Source organism: Homo sapiens, chromosome 1 (genome assembly GCF_000001405.40).
Source record: "Homo sapiens chromosome 1, GRCh38.p14 Primary Assembly".
Classification (NCBI taxonomy): domain Eukaryota; kingdom Metazoa; phylum Chordata; class Mammalia; order Primates; family Hominidae; genus Homo; species Homo sapiens.
The window spans coordinates 41,716,619-41,730,673 of record NC_000001.11 but is presented as its reverse complement, the minus strand read 5'-3'; the positions used below and the strand labels follow the sequence as shown (position 1 = coordinate 41,730,673).

At 50.6% G+C, this 14,055-nt stretch overlaps 1 protein-coding gene across 2 annotated transcripts in view, besides 3 other annotated features; it reads left to right on the top strand.

Moving 5' to 3' along the window:
- Positions 1-14,055, top strand: part of HIVEP3 (HIVEP zinc finger 3) — a 529,570-nt gene that overhangs the window by 305,261 nt on the left and 210,254 nt on the right. The gene's annotated exons all lie outside the window — the stretch shown is intronic.
- Positions 2,248-2,317: an enhancer, noted in NCBI's record as "active region_878". NCBI's record gives its function as "activates an Ori minimal core promoter by ATAC-STARR-seq in GM12878 lymphoblastoid cells {active_cell/tissue: GM12878}" and the evidence as "EXISTENCE:reporter gene assay evidence [ECO:0000049][PMID:35858748]".
- Positions 9,364-9,413: an enhancer, noted in NCBI's record as "active region_877". NCBI's record gives its function as "activates an Ori minimal core promoter by ATAC-STARR-seq in GM12878 lymphoblastoid cells {active_cell/tissue: GM12878}" and the evidence as "EXISTENCE:reporter gene assay evidence [ECO:0000049][PMID:35858748]".
- Positions 9,454-9,503: an enhancer, noted in NCBI's record as "active region_876". NCBI's record gives its function as "activates an Ori minimal core promoter by ATAC-STARR-seq in GM12878 lymphoblastoid cells {active_cell/tissue: GM12878}" and the evidence as "EXISTENCE:reporter gene assay evidence [ECO:0000049][PMID:35858748]".

The following is a 14,055-nucleotide window of genomic DNA, read 5'->3' as shown; positions in this document are numbered from 1 at the left end:
ACCGGCTGCCCATGCATTATTAACGTGCAAAGAGCGTGAGAGAACTGCTTAGATAGATTGCACCCTGGCGCCCCTGGTGCATTAGTTGCTGCATTTGCAGCGTGCCCCTGGTGGCCCATGATGTTCCCCTCCAGGGTCTCCCCCAGCATTGCCAGGCCTGGCTCTGCCCCAGGACTGAGTGCTGATGGGGAGCTGGCTCTTCAGGCACTGGGCATCTGGAGCAGGGTGGGGCTAGGAGCACTGGTGCCAGGGATGCAGGGTTGTGCAGGCCCAGCACTTCCGGGTCAAAGAGGGCAGCAAACTGAAGGATCAGCTCATCTACTCCTCACCCCCTCAGCTCTACAGGGGAGGACACCAAGGCTTGAGGGGAGAAGTGACCTGTTCAAGGCCACAGGTGAGGGGCAGAGGCCCAGGTTCCTGGTTCTCCCTTCATACTGAGTCTTCCTTGAGCTGAATCATGTCAGCTCCTAGAGCCTGGGGTGAGGCCTCTCAAATGGACAAAGAGGAATCCTTTGCAGGAGGAGCCTGCCTAGTCTCTTGAGGGCCCCTGTGAGAAAGGGGGCGAATTCCCACAGGAAGATGAAAGCCCCTTGCTCTGCAGTCACGTTTCCTAAGGTTAAACACGCTCAACCCCGACTAGCTGGAGGACCTTGGCCGACTCACTTTCCCTCTCTTGGCCTTCGTGTCTTCATCTGGAAAACAGGCACAGTATTCCCTGCCCTGCCTTTGTGCCTCCCTTCCTGTCTCCCTCTGTGGGCTGGTGTGAGGATCCAGAGTGGTAGTGGAGGAGAGGGAACCGGAAACTCACATGACACTTCCTGTCGAGAGCAAGAACGCACCTCTTCCCGGCTCCAGCACCTCGCACCTTTCAACACAGAATCAAAGACTGGGCTGGGTTACCTAGAGTTAATTGGAGGTAACTAGAGGAACAAGGACACATGGCTGAAAGGACTGTCACCTTCAGGAGGCCCTGGTCCCAAGCCTAGGGCTGCTACTTACAAGCTGGTGGCCTCGGTCAGGGCCCTTCTCCCTCTCTTCTCTTCACTTTCTCCTTCTGTAAAATGAGTAGGGAGTTGGAAAGGAGGAGTTTAGAATTCCTCTAAGAATATTCCAGCTTTAAAGTCAACGGGGACCCATTCAGAATAAAAAGGTCAGTGACGGATATCAGGCCCTTTGCCAACAGCAAGTTTGGGAACCCTGGGAAACCCGTGGTCCCTGGACATAGAGTTGAGGGAGTGAGGCAGTGACGATGAGCTTTGCCAATCTGAGAACCAGTGCCTTCTCAGTTTCTTGCCAGTTTTGCAGATGAGCAGTTGATTTACAGAGTTGGAGTGAGTTGCCTCAAGTCACAGAGCCAGGGTGAGAGATAGCATGGGCCCAGGTCTGCCCTGTTCTTCACAACATAATGTTGGAAGTAGAGGGAAAGGCAGGGAAAGGGGCTGCCGGTTACTGATCACCCCTGTGCACTGGGCTCTCTGCTTCCCCCAGGATCTCGTTTTATTCCCACAGCCACCTTGGGAGGTGGACTCCCTGAATGGAACCCCTGAGGGTGGCGGAGACAGTAGTCTGATTTCTGGTTGTTCCTGGATGGCTGTGTGTTGGGGGAAGCACGTGGCCAAGGCAGCCTGGGTAACCCCTAGTCCATGTGGGAGATGGTGACTGAGAGCGAGATTGCAGCCACGTGGAGATTGTGGGCAGCAGTGTGGCTGGGACAGCAGCTGCTCTCCCTATGCAAATGAGGCCCTCAGCACCCACCATCCAGCACTGAGCAAACACCCAGCAGAGAAACCCCCTCCTAAACCTCTCTGGGACCCTAGCCTGTGCCTTCTGACACCTTCACCGCAGCAGCTGCCTGTACTCTAAGCCCAGTCCCAGGCCACAGCAGTTCACAAGAACCATGCCCACCCCTTGGGGGAATTCCCGTGTCTGTCTGGAGACAAACTGCAGCCTAGGCAAGTCTGGCTGTAGAAGCTGACCCTAGAAGCCAGCCCTGCATTAAGAGCTGACTGTAGCATCCCCAGTGGCATGCCCGTATCACTTCCAGGGCCAGTCTGAGAACTGTCAGTGGGGCTGTAGATTGAGAACAAGTCTGGCCTCATCCACCCTCTGCAGATCCCAAGCATATCGCCTTTGGCCCCTCCCCTGCACATTTGCTCATGCTGTCCCCTTGGGATTACATTTCACCCCCCCTTACTCCCCCTGCTCTGTCGCCTTGGCAGAACCAGCCCCGCATCCCCTGCCCAGCACTGAGTGCCCCAGGCCTGGGTGCCGTCTATCATTACAGCCTGCTCATGTCCTTGGACTCCAGCTCCCCTCTAGGCTGGGCACTCCCTGGGCTGGGGCTGAGGAATTTGTGCCTGGCTTTGGATTGAGTGTGGTCTCATTTATTCCTTGCAACCTAGAAGACAGATATGCTTATTGTTCTAGCTTTATGGGTGAAGAAAGATACTCAGAGAGGTCAAGTCACTTGCTCAAGGTTGCACAGCTACCAAGTAGGAGAGCTGGGATAAGGAACTGGAGTTGCATGCAGAGTCTGTAATTGGGAATAGACTGGCCCTTATTCAGCCCTTTGTTCCCAGGCCTGACAAAGCCTAGGGTGATTAAGGACCAGCAAGCGTTGATGCATTCTTGTTCAACAATAAGATGGTGGATACTCTCCCTGTCTGTTCCCCAGGTATCCTGAAGGTGCACCCTGCCGCTGTGTGCACAGCCCACCTACCCCAACATGCACCCGTCAGGCCCTGGATGAGGGCATTTGCTCAGGAGATCCTTCCAGCAGTGTGGTGGGCTCAGGATGGTTATACCCATTTTATAGATAGGAAACTGGGTACTAGAGAGGTCTAATAAATGTCCCAGAATGACCCAGCAGGAAGTAGCTGACTACGACTCCAGCCCAGGGCTTGGGGCTCTGTGTCTGGTGCTCCTTCCTAGGCTGGCGGGATGAGGCCATGCTTGCCAAAGTCACCCGGGCTGCCTCTGGCCCAAAGTGACGGAGCAGTTGGTCAGCTAGTCCTCCACCCCGAGGCCTCTGAGAAGAGAGGAAACACCGGTCTGCGGGGGATTCCTCCGGCGGCGCCGCGCCCCTCAGCCACTTCCTCTGGACACTCTCGTTTTCTTTGTCACTTGTTTTAGTTTCTGCTTTTCTTCCCTCGTTCCTTTTTCTCAAGGCCACTTTCATTTCCGTCTGGCAGTGTCCCCCCAGCCCACCCCTACTCCTCTCTGCTCAGCTCCCACTGCCTGCTGCCACTTTGGGATCCCCAGAGGCCTTGCCTGCCTGGGCCACATTTCCCAGCTGGTAGGGGTCAGGCACAGGAAGGGGCTGCCTCCCGGCTTCATCCCTCGTGGTGGGGAAGCTGAGGTGGCTGTCAGATCGCCCTAGGATCCCAAGCAGCCCCAGGTTCCCTGCTTAGCCTCTCTGGGCCCCAGGCTCTTTCTCATCTATGAGATGGGAGGAAGTCCACCCTCAGAGAGTGTGAGGAGAGAAGGAGATGACACACGTGAAGCTCCAGTAACTAGCACATAGAAAAACCCAGTGAACACCAGCTCTGCATCTCCGGACCTGCCTGTGAGTTCAGTCTTCTGTGCCTGCAGTCTTCTCCCCCAACACTGGGCGCCCACACCTGGCCAAAGGCAGACCTCGCCATCTGTGCCTCCCGCGCTGAGACACCAAAGCCTGTAGAAAGGTGGTTCTGAGAAAGGAAGAGAGGATTATCACTTACGCCCTCTGGAGTCCATATGTACAGCCCTCTACCACAGCAAGAGCCCCTGCCCCCATGCCCAGCACAGAGGCATCATTTTCCCTGCAGACTGCCAGCCACCAGGCACTCAACACTCAGGGTAGGGCAGCCCTCCATTGTTCGACAGCTCTGCCTTTTTTAAGAAAGTTCTTCTCTCTAGTCAGCTGAGACCTGCCAGCCTCCACACCTGTCCTCTATCTTTGACCTTCCCCAAAAGAACTGATCTCCTCTCTCCTATTGTTCTAGATGTCTCAGTATTGCACTTGGGCCTCTCCAGACTTGCCCCAAATCCTTCTGCTCCAGTGTCCCAGTATCCCAGAGCAGTTAAGATTTTGGACTCCAGAGCACAACTCCCCCAGTTCAAATCGTGGTGAGGCCACTTGCTATCTATGTGACACTGGGAGTTTCCTAACCCCTCCACGCTCAAAAGGAGGTAACTGTGGGACTTAACATGAGCGGGTGTGTAAACGTCACCCACTGCCATGGCTGTTTATGATCAAACATCTACAAAATCTGTAACAGCTTCTCAAAGGGCCTCACTTCCAGCCCCCTTCATGCCTGCTTGCCTGCTGGTTCTATTTGGTAGTTTCCCTGTTACAACTTAGAGATGGTGCCTTGACTCTTGGAGGCAGCCAGACATTGAGGAAGGAGCCCTGGTTTTGGAAGTAGACCTGTGTTCAAATCTCAGGTCCATCCCGGGTTTGATTTACCCGGGAGACACCATGGGCCCATGTGGCTTCTCGAGGGCTCATGAAAATGCTTGAGACATGAAAAGAAAAAGGTTTGGTTTCAAAATATGAAAACTGCTCATCAAAATTAATATTTAGTTAATATACTCAAGCATAATGAATTGTATGATTTAGTTTTTATAGAAACAGCCCTCCTTTTGGGGGTTAGCATGCCTCACCTTGCCAAGGTTCCTGATTGCAGACAATGACTGCTGAGAAATCAGAGCATATCATTCATACTACAGGTTACTCACTGAAAATCACTTCAAAAACAAAATTATCTTTTAAATGTATAGTTGTTTTCCAGCAAAATATTACATTCAGCAAGGGATAAATTTTATAGAATGTCGGGGAGGCTTCCAAAAGTAATGCAGCTTGGGTCTTAAAATGACCCTGGGACTGGTCAACTCATCTCTCTGAGCCACTATGTCCTCATCTGCAAAATGGGGACAATACACCTGTTTTCCAGTATTGTTGAGCCTATCCTGGAGATCTGATAGTGCCTGCCTGTCTTTTGGGGGTCACTGGAGGAAGGGACAGAGGACTGTTGGCCCTTGCCTCTTATGGAGTTTCCATACGGATGCTGGACACTGAACCTGTTTGCTTTATCAGTCCTATGTGTCTGGGCCTTTCATCCCAGCTTCTGCCCATTCATCTTGGAGCGAGCAGTTACCATCAGCACAGACAATAGTTTGGGCTTTGGGAGGTGGGAAGTCCTGGGAATTCTTAGTTATTCCATTGCTGTTGCATTAGGTAGGTCCGCACATGCCCTTGAAGATTGAACATCCCTCCTGGGCTCTAACATAATTCAGGAAAAAGAGATGTCTGTTCTCTTGCCTCTTGACAGCTATTCCTTGTAAGGAACCATCATTCCCTTGTCCCTGTGACTGGGAGAGGCTTGTGGCAGGAGTGAGGAGACATCGGCTGATAAGTGGCAACCAGTTAGGGGCCCAGCTGCATGTCTGCATGTCCCGAAGCGTTCTTGATTCAGGGATGCCATTCACAGCATGAGAGGTGCCTCTTATGTGCCCATCCTGCTTAGGGTCAGCTGTTTCATTCAAAGATGGTAAAAAGTGTTGAGTCTTGGGTTTCAATTCTGCCTTTCTCATTCACTTGCTGTATGACTCTGGGCAGGTCACTTGACCACTCTGAACCTCAGTTTCCTCCTCTGCCAAGTAGGAAAACAAACAGCTGGTCTTTCTTCCCTGAGTTGGTGTGGGATTGTGGGTGAGAAAGGCTAAGTAGACCATTGTGAAACTTCAGGTGGGAGATGCCAGTGCTATTCTTTGTCTTGGTGTGAGAGCACAACCGGAGTCATTCACAGGCTTCTGCTGAGCCCCAGCCGGACTCTCACCTCAGCCTTGTCCAGGCCTAGGGGCCACCCTTGCAAAGGAACAGAACCGTCTCACCTGGGCTGGAGTTCATGGCCTCAGGCGAGATTTGGCAGGTGCCCTTAGTGCAGACCAGATGTTTGGCCTGTGTGTGATGGCTGGGGAGGGGCTCACACCTCCCAGTTTTTTCCATGGTATCAGCATCTTAATGCATCACGTCTCACTGACGTGGAGCTGCCCCTGTCCATTACCCGTGCATCAGCTCAGAGTTGGAAGCCTCCAGTCTCCATCATATGTCCCAAAGAGCCAGAAAGGGTAGGTGTGGCCAGATGTGCAGGAACCTCCTGCATATGTAATCCAAGCCAAGTCTTTGTTCTCTGATCCTTGGTTTTCTCATCTGGAGAATGGCCTTCTGTGGTGGACGTTTCTGTTCACTTTACTTGGCAGCAGTAGTAGGTCAGGAAGGAAACCCCATCTGATTGTTTATTCAGCCCTAGGCATTCCATATGAAGGCCAGCCCTTTTCTCCCTAAGGGGACCAACCAGCTTTGCCAACTGTTCTCAGAGGAGGATCCCAGGGACAGTATTCTGGTGAGGGGTGGGAACATACAGAAGACTTATCTTGAAGCTGCATTTGTAGAATAAGCACACTTTTAACCTAGAGTTTATGTTTGCTCATTTGGAGTGGCTTCGGAAGGTGACAGTGGATAGTGGTGGAAGGGGATGTCAGAGTCCACCCCAAGACACTACTTCAAGCTACCGCTGCAAACCTGGAGAAAAAGATTCATCCTCGAGCTGCCCCTCCCCCCTCATGATATTATTATCGCAAGAGAAACTAACATCTGTATTATCCTCTGAGTTTACAGGCAGATTATAGCATTTGAAGGAAGTTGGGAAAGCTTACTTCCTCTCCATCTCTAAAGCCGAGCTGCTAGTACCTCCAGGCAGGATTAAGCTACTCTGGTGGTCATTCATTCCTTACCATGATCTAGTTAATCAGATTGCTTTCCAGCCTTGACCAGAAGAAACCTATGAAAGTGCTAACCCTAATCCTAACCCTGACCCTGGGCTCTGAGGGCTGTGCTGAGATGTTTCACTCCTACACTAAACCAATACCTAGCTCTTCCCAATTTGCAGTAAAGGACAAAGTTATTACTTATCATTATCTCATTCTTCTAGTTTTCTCCCATTGGCTTTTCATAAGCTCTGGGCACTTGCTACTGCTTGACTGCTAATGAGTGCTCATAGGCAATAAAATGAAATGTACAAGTAGCAAACAAATATTAATGAGGAATATCAAAACCAGCCAATTCTGCGGAGTTTTGCAGCATATTTTTTTATGGTGGCTGTGTGTGTGTGTGTGTGTGTGTGTGTGTGGTGGCTGTGTGTGTGTGTGTGTATGATTTTATGGTATGGGTGCATTTTCTGCTAGTGAAAATTGTTCCCAGTTCTTGTGATGGAACCAGAACTTTAGTATTTCATGGAGTTCCCCCAAGAATTCCATGACTTTCCGTTACAACAATGGGATAAGGATGGGGATGGTGGCAGGAAAGAGAGGGGCCCCATGGAAGGGATGAGATGACCCAAACTCAGGGCTCATTCCTGATCCCCCAACCCCCAAGGAAAATCAAGTGACTCAAGATCTGGCAGATGTGTCCCTTCCTGTCACTCCTACTGCTAACAGCCTTGTCTTACCTGGATTTCTGTAGCTGCTTTTATCTGCCACCACCATGCCCCCTCTAATTTGTTCCCCATAGTGCACCAGGGGGATCTTTCTAGAACACAAACCTGGTCACGTCATTCCCCAAATAAAATCCTTTAATAGCTCCCCATGGCCTCTGGGGTTAAATGCTAAATTCCTTTAGAGCAACTTGCAAGGACCCTCAGGATCTCCTACCTGGTCTTACCTCTTTCCCTCAAAGCTCTGGCCTTAACCTCTTGCTTCCTAGCTCACACACACACATGCATCTCTCTCTCTGTCTTTCTCTTTCTTCCTGTTTCTCTCACACATACACATATGCACATGCATGCACACTCAATATTCAAGTCTCAGTTTAGATGCCATTTCCCAGAAGTCTTCCTTGATTACTTCCTCCACACCTGTGGAAGCCTGTGGATTTCATGTGCTCCTATGCTCCCTGGACTCATGTCAGAATGCATTTCACCAACAATTGTCTTTTTGCTAGTCTGTCTCCTTGACTAGACTGTGAGTGCCCACAGAATAGAGACTGTCCTGCTGCATTGCACCTGCCACATACAATGGATACTCAATAAATACCTGCTAAAAGTGGAGGGAAGAAAGGCAGGCAGAAGGAAGGGAAGGAGGGAAGGAGGGAGGGAGGGAGGGAGAGAAGGGAGGAAAGGAGGGAAGGGAAGGGAAGGGGAGGGGAGAGGGAGGGGAGAGGGAAGGGGAGGAAGGAAGGAAGGAAAGAAGGAAGGAAGGAAGGAAGGAAGGAAGGAAGGAAGGAAGGAAGGCCAGCCAAATTTATTTTGCTGATCTCCAGGTCCAGCCAGGGCCAGCCCTGATATATGTGGAAAACTAGTATCAGTGCAACAAGTATTTCACAAGCACGAGCTACATCCCAGGCCTGTGCTGGGAGCTAGAGATGTCAGAGAGGTGAAGGGAGGTGGAACAAGGACTCCACTGGAGGGAGGTAAGACAAGTCTGCAGCAGAGACAAAGCTGATTGTGGTCCACACTGCGAAGGAGATACACACCAAGAGTTCCAGGAGCTTGCATGAGGGAGGAAGAAGACCCTACTAGGGTCAGGTGGGGAGGTAGAGATCCCAGGGGCAGGGGTAGGGGCAGCCTGCTTGGCCAGAGGCCCTCTCAGTTCCTCCCATGGCATGTTTATGGCTGGCTTCATTAGTCTTCAGAGATGATGGAGAGCTTCATCATTGAGAGTCTGTGCAGGCATCACTCCTCTAGGAAAATGTCCATGCCCCTCCCTCTGATGGAGTGGATCACGCTCACTAGCCTCTGTGCTACCCAGGGCACACCTCTGTTAGGGAAGGCAGTTCTGTGCACCGATGGACAGCACCGTGTGGGGTTAGGAGCACAGATTCTGGAGCTGCCTGCCTGGGCTCCCATCCCAGCTCTGTTCCTGTGAGCAGCAGAGCAATTGTGAGTCCATGACTCAACCCCTCTATGCCTCAGTTTCCTCCTCTGTACAGCAGAGATGATAATGATACTTCCTTCATAGTATTAATAGCATTGCAAGTGTCAAGTGAGTTAATACAGGTAAAAACTCAGAACTGTGCCTGATGCAGGATCCAGATTATATAAATATTTGCTATTAGCACTATTGATTAACCTATGCACCTACCTACGTCTCTTGTTCTAGCTTATGAGCTTTTAAAAAAATTGCAGTAAGGGTCAGGCATGGTGGCTCACATCTGTAATCCCAGCACTTTGGGAGGCCGAGGTGGGCGGATCACCTGAGGTCAGGAGTTCGAGACCAGCCTGACCAATATGATGAAATCCCGTCTCCACTAAAAATACAAAAATTAGTCGAGCGCGGTGGCATGCGCCTGTAATCCCACCTACTCGGGGCTGAGACAGGAGAATCGCTTGAACCTGGGATGTGGAGGTTGCAGTGAGCCGAGATCGCTCCATTGCACTCCAGCCTGGGCGACAATAGTGAAACTGAAACTCTGTCTCAAAAAAAAAAAAAATTGCAGTAAGAATGTTTCACATGAGATCTACCTTTCAACCAATGTTTAAGTAGATAAAGTATCATTCATCATAGGCAAATGTTGCACAGCAGGTCTCTAGAACTTAGTCAACTTGCTTAACTGAACATTTATACTCCTTGAGCAGCAACTTCCCATTTCCCGTTCCCCCAGCTCCTGGCACCCACTATTCTACTGTCTGCTTCTGTGAGTTTGACTATTTTAGACACTACGTCTAAGTGGAATTATGCAGTATCTGTCCTTCTGTGCCTATTTCACTTAGCATAATGTCCTCCAGGTTCATCCATGCTGTCACATATTGCAGGATTTCCTTCTTTTTTAAGGCTGAATAATATTCAACTGTATGTGTGTACCACATTTTCTTTATCCATTCATCTGGATGGACATTTGGGTTTTTTCCACATCTTGACTATTGTGGGTAATGCTGTAATGAACATAAGAGTGCAAATATCTCTTTGAGATCTTGTTTTCAATCCTTTTGGATAAATACCCAGCAGTGGGATTGCTAGATCATATGGTAGTTCTATTTTTAATTTGTTGAGGAACTTCCATACTGTTCCCCATAGTGGCTGCACCATTTTACATTCCTACCAGCAGTGCACAAGTGTTCTAATTTCTTGTCTTAGGAGCCTCTTGACATTAGAGCCTGACTCTGGTCTCACCTGTAGCTCCCTCAACTCCTCACATAGGAATCACACATAATAGGCTTTGAAAAGGTAGAATAATAATGTAGTATATTCAGTGCTGGAACTGGGTGAGTCAGAGCTGGATGAACATGTCTCTTTCTAGACAGACCCAAGGCTATTCCCGATGTGTCCAAATGGAGTAAATCTGTGAATGAACCATTCTATTTGTTGAATGTCCCAAATGGGGAAAATTATAGGATCTCCCTTCTTTAGGCCCTTCAAGAGTTGCAGTCTGGGGCCTGGGAGCAGCCCTGGAGGCCCACTCAGAGGTGGTGTCCTGAGCTCATCAGGTTTAGCATGCCAATTATGGAATTTCCTGCCTGCTCTGATGACTTTTTGGCATCTGCGATGTAGATGGAGGGTGGGGAGGATGTTTGAGGGGAGACGTAGGAAAGCAAGTAGCTTGGTAGGGCCACTCAGCTGAAACCAGAACTGGGCCTCTGGAGCTCAGTGTGTGGCTGGACCCCAGCCCCGCTCCACAGTTTGAGTCCTTGTGTACCTGGGAATAAATCACTTCCGTCTTAGCTTCTGTTCTTGGCCTGTGCAACTTAGGGCAAGAGACAGCCTGGCCTGATGGAAAGGACATAGGAGCCAGGAAGCGTCTGGGCTTCCTAGCCTGGCTCTGCCAGTTTACCAGATATAGGACTCAGGCAAGACACTGAACTTCTCCAAGGCTTAGTGGTTCCCTGTGTTGGTGCTAACATGAGTCAGGAGTCCCACTGGGGCTGCTGTGAGGTTGAAGTGACCCTGAGGAAGGGCTCTGTGTGTCTCCTTCTGGAGCCTGGTCACCGTGTCATCTTTCTCTGTTATTGTGAACTTGCCCCAGAAAGACGGACATCTCAAGAACCCCAAGGCTTTCCAATGAGCCTAAGACTTCATGGTGGGGACAGGGACGTCCCTGAGTGATGTGGAGCAGCCAACAGCTGACTACTAGTTCAGGAACATCTGCTCTTGGGCAGTCTCCCTCTCCATGTCAGTGACAAATCCATTTAGGAGATGGAGAAATTGAGCCAAGGGAAGGAAAACTCACTAGGGCTCACTAGGGCTGCCTAAAATTGTTTTAGATAGATGAGTTATTCATATGAATGAAGGAATGACCATTGTTTCAAGGTAAAGGCGAGAACTAAAGGCAAAACAAGTTCTTGCTCCACCTCCCAGTCTGTTTCACTTCCATCTAACCTGTAAGAGGAGCTTCACTGTCTCCTGCACCCTAACAGTTTGAGCCTCTGTGCCTTTGTACTTGATTTTGTTTGACTTTGTCCTTGAATGCTGTTTTCATATAGAGCAATAAATTATATGGTCAAATCCTCCCCATCCTTCAAAGCTCCTCTCTCTCCTCCTCCAGGAAGTCTTCCAGGGTACCTGGTTGTCCTTTGTGCAGCTCTTGTCTTTAGCTGCAGCAGCACACTCTGAGCCCTCAATTTTAGCTATCTGGCCTTTATCTCTCACAGTATTAAGAATGTGCTTCTTGTTACTCCCACTTGGCCATGGGCTGTTGCCCTTCTAACCTCCTGGTGGGTCCTAGTCCATCAAGCCTAGTTTCAGTCCAGCAAAGAGGAAGGGTTAAAACATGTACCTTGACCCCCAGCTAAAATCCACTAGCGCCTTCGTTCTAATGCCTTTGGTCTCAGCTTTCACTGCTCTGGGCTGGGTCAAGGTCTTATGGCTATAATTACAGCACATACGTGTGTGTGTGTGTGCACGTGTGTGTGTGTGTGTGTGTGTGGGTGTGAAAGAGAGAAAGAAAGAGAGAGACAGAGACAGAGGAGGGAATGGGAAGACAGGAGAGATGGAGAGAGGAGGGCAATGGACTCGTGCCAGGCCACACACACCATGTTTGTCTCTGGAGGTGAGAGTGAAACAACCCTTATTCCCATCAGCTGACACGCCTGGGCAGATCCTCTGTGGGATGCTAAGCCGGGTGGCTGGGGCAGGTCCGCTGTTCCCATTCCAGCAGGGTTCAATCTCTGTCATCTAACACTTCATACCAGTGTTATTGAAGTCTCACTAATAATTACCAGCACAACAGCAAGTGTTAGAAGCATTTGCCATGCTAAGCACTTTACGTAGATTATCTTAATTCTCACGACAACCATTTGAGGTAGATGCCATCTTAGTGCCATTTTACAGATGAGGAAGCTGAGATTTAGAAAGATTCCACGACATAGCAAGCGTAGGGTACAGACCCACGGCCAGTCTGTCTGGCCTAAGCCTGTATTCATCCCCATTGCCCACAGTCGCCTCACTGCCCCAGAAGCCCAGACTCCTTGGCAAAGGCCCTGGTTCCACCACTGGCCACCCTATGTGGGACATTCAGTGCACCAGACCTTGGTTCCACCCCTCTTTAAAATGGGCTGGATGCCGCTGAAGGGCCCTGCCAATTTCCCATATGGAGAAGCCGTGCTTGGGGGATTCCGAATCCTTGGATGCTAAGATACCGGTCATTCTGATTCTGGGATTTCCAGATTCTGGCCACAGATTCTAGGGTCCTGGAATCCCATGATCCCCATAATCTCTGATCTCCACTAGAATGCAGGCTCCAGGGGGACATGCGCTTCCATCCATGGGTGCCCTGCTGTGTGCTAGGGCCCAGCACAGCCAGAGCCTGCCGTGAGCTAGGCGCTCAGTCAGCGTTTGTTGACTGAATGACTGACTCACCCTCCCCTACAGTCAATGTCCATCCTCTGGCCAGGGTCCATGCCTGAAATGTGCCCAGTCCACATATGGTGGGCGACCCCTGGATAAACAGGCAGAAAACTTGCCTCTGGTCCTGCTCAGCCACTGATCTGCAGCATGGTTCCAGGCAAGTCACCTAACCTGCCTGAGCCTCTCTTTTCCCAAGAGCACTAGACAAGGAGTCAGAGAAACACACCAGGCTTATTCCTGCCTCAGGGCCTTTGCATGTACCAACCCCGTGCCTGAAATCCTTGTGCCCCTGCTCCCTCACTTCACCCAGGCCTTTGCTCAGATGTCACCCCTAGAACCTCATCTCCTTAGAGAAGCCTTCCCTGATCACATCAACTCAAGCACCTTCTCTAGTCACTTTCTCTTTCCTTTCTCAAGTTGTCTGTATTTTCTTTCATAGGGCTCATTACCACCTGACAACATTTCTTTGTTTGAATGTTGTCTGTTTCCCCTATTAGAATTTAAGTTCCAAGAGGACAGGAGTTTTTCTTGTCTGATTCACCGCCTAGAATAGCGCCTGACACAAAGTAGGTATTCAACAAATATTGGTTGGAGGGAATAAGGGAAAGAGCGTCGGAAAATGCAAGCTCCATGGGATCCTCCCCTGCCCAAGTTCTGGTCCCCAGATGCTGAGCCACTTGGGCAGCTCTCTCCTGGCTCAGCCTGAACTCCCACGAGACCCAGAACCTTCCCCCAGGTACCACTCTGGGTGCCTTCACCATGGGAAACCAAGGTCACAACTGCGTGCCCTCAGAGCAGGACACAGGGCAACCAGCTCTCCCCAAAAGAGAAGACTGCCAGGCCGAGGCCTGGGCAGAGCTGGCTGTGTGCTGCTGAGTAAACATACTCGTCTTCCACAACGTGCGTGCAGCTTGAGGCCTGCTTTCTGTTGCTGGCACTCAGACAGCCAGGGGAGAAGGAGAGTCATGCCTGAGAGTGACAGAGAGGAGGAAGGCAGTGGTGTCTGATGCAGCCTGGCTTCTAACCGGCTTCGTTCACATCTCCCTCTCCTGCCCCAGCCCCTCTGAGCTCCCCACGGCTTGTTACTGCCTGCAGGAGGATGCAGCCTCTCAGCTGGAATTCAGGGCCCTCCGTGACCCAGACCTGCCTGGATCCCCAACCTGCTTTCTCCCAGCAGGGTCCAGGGACTATTTCCCAATGCACCATGACCTGTCCCATCCCCCAGCTTTGTTTGAA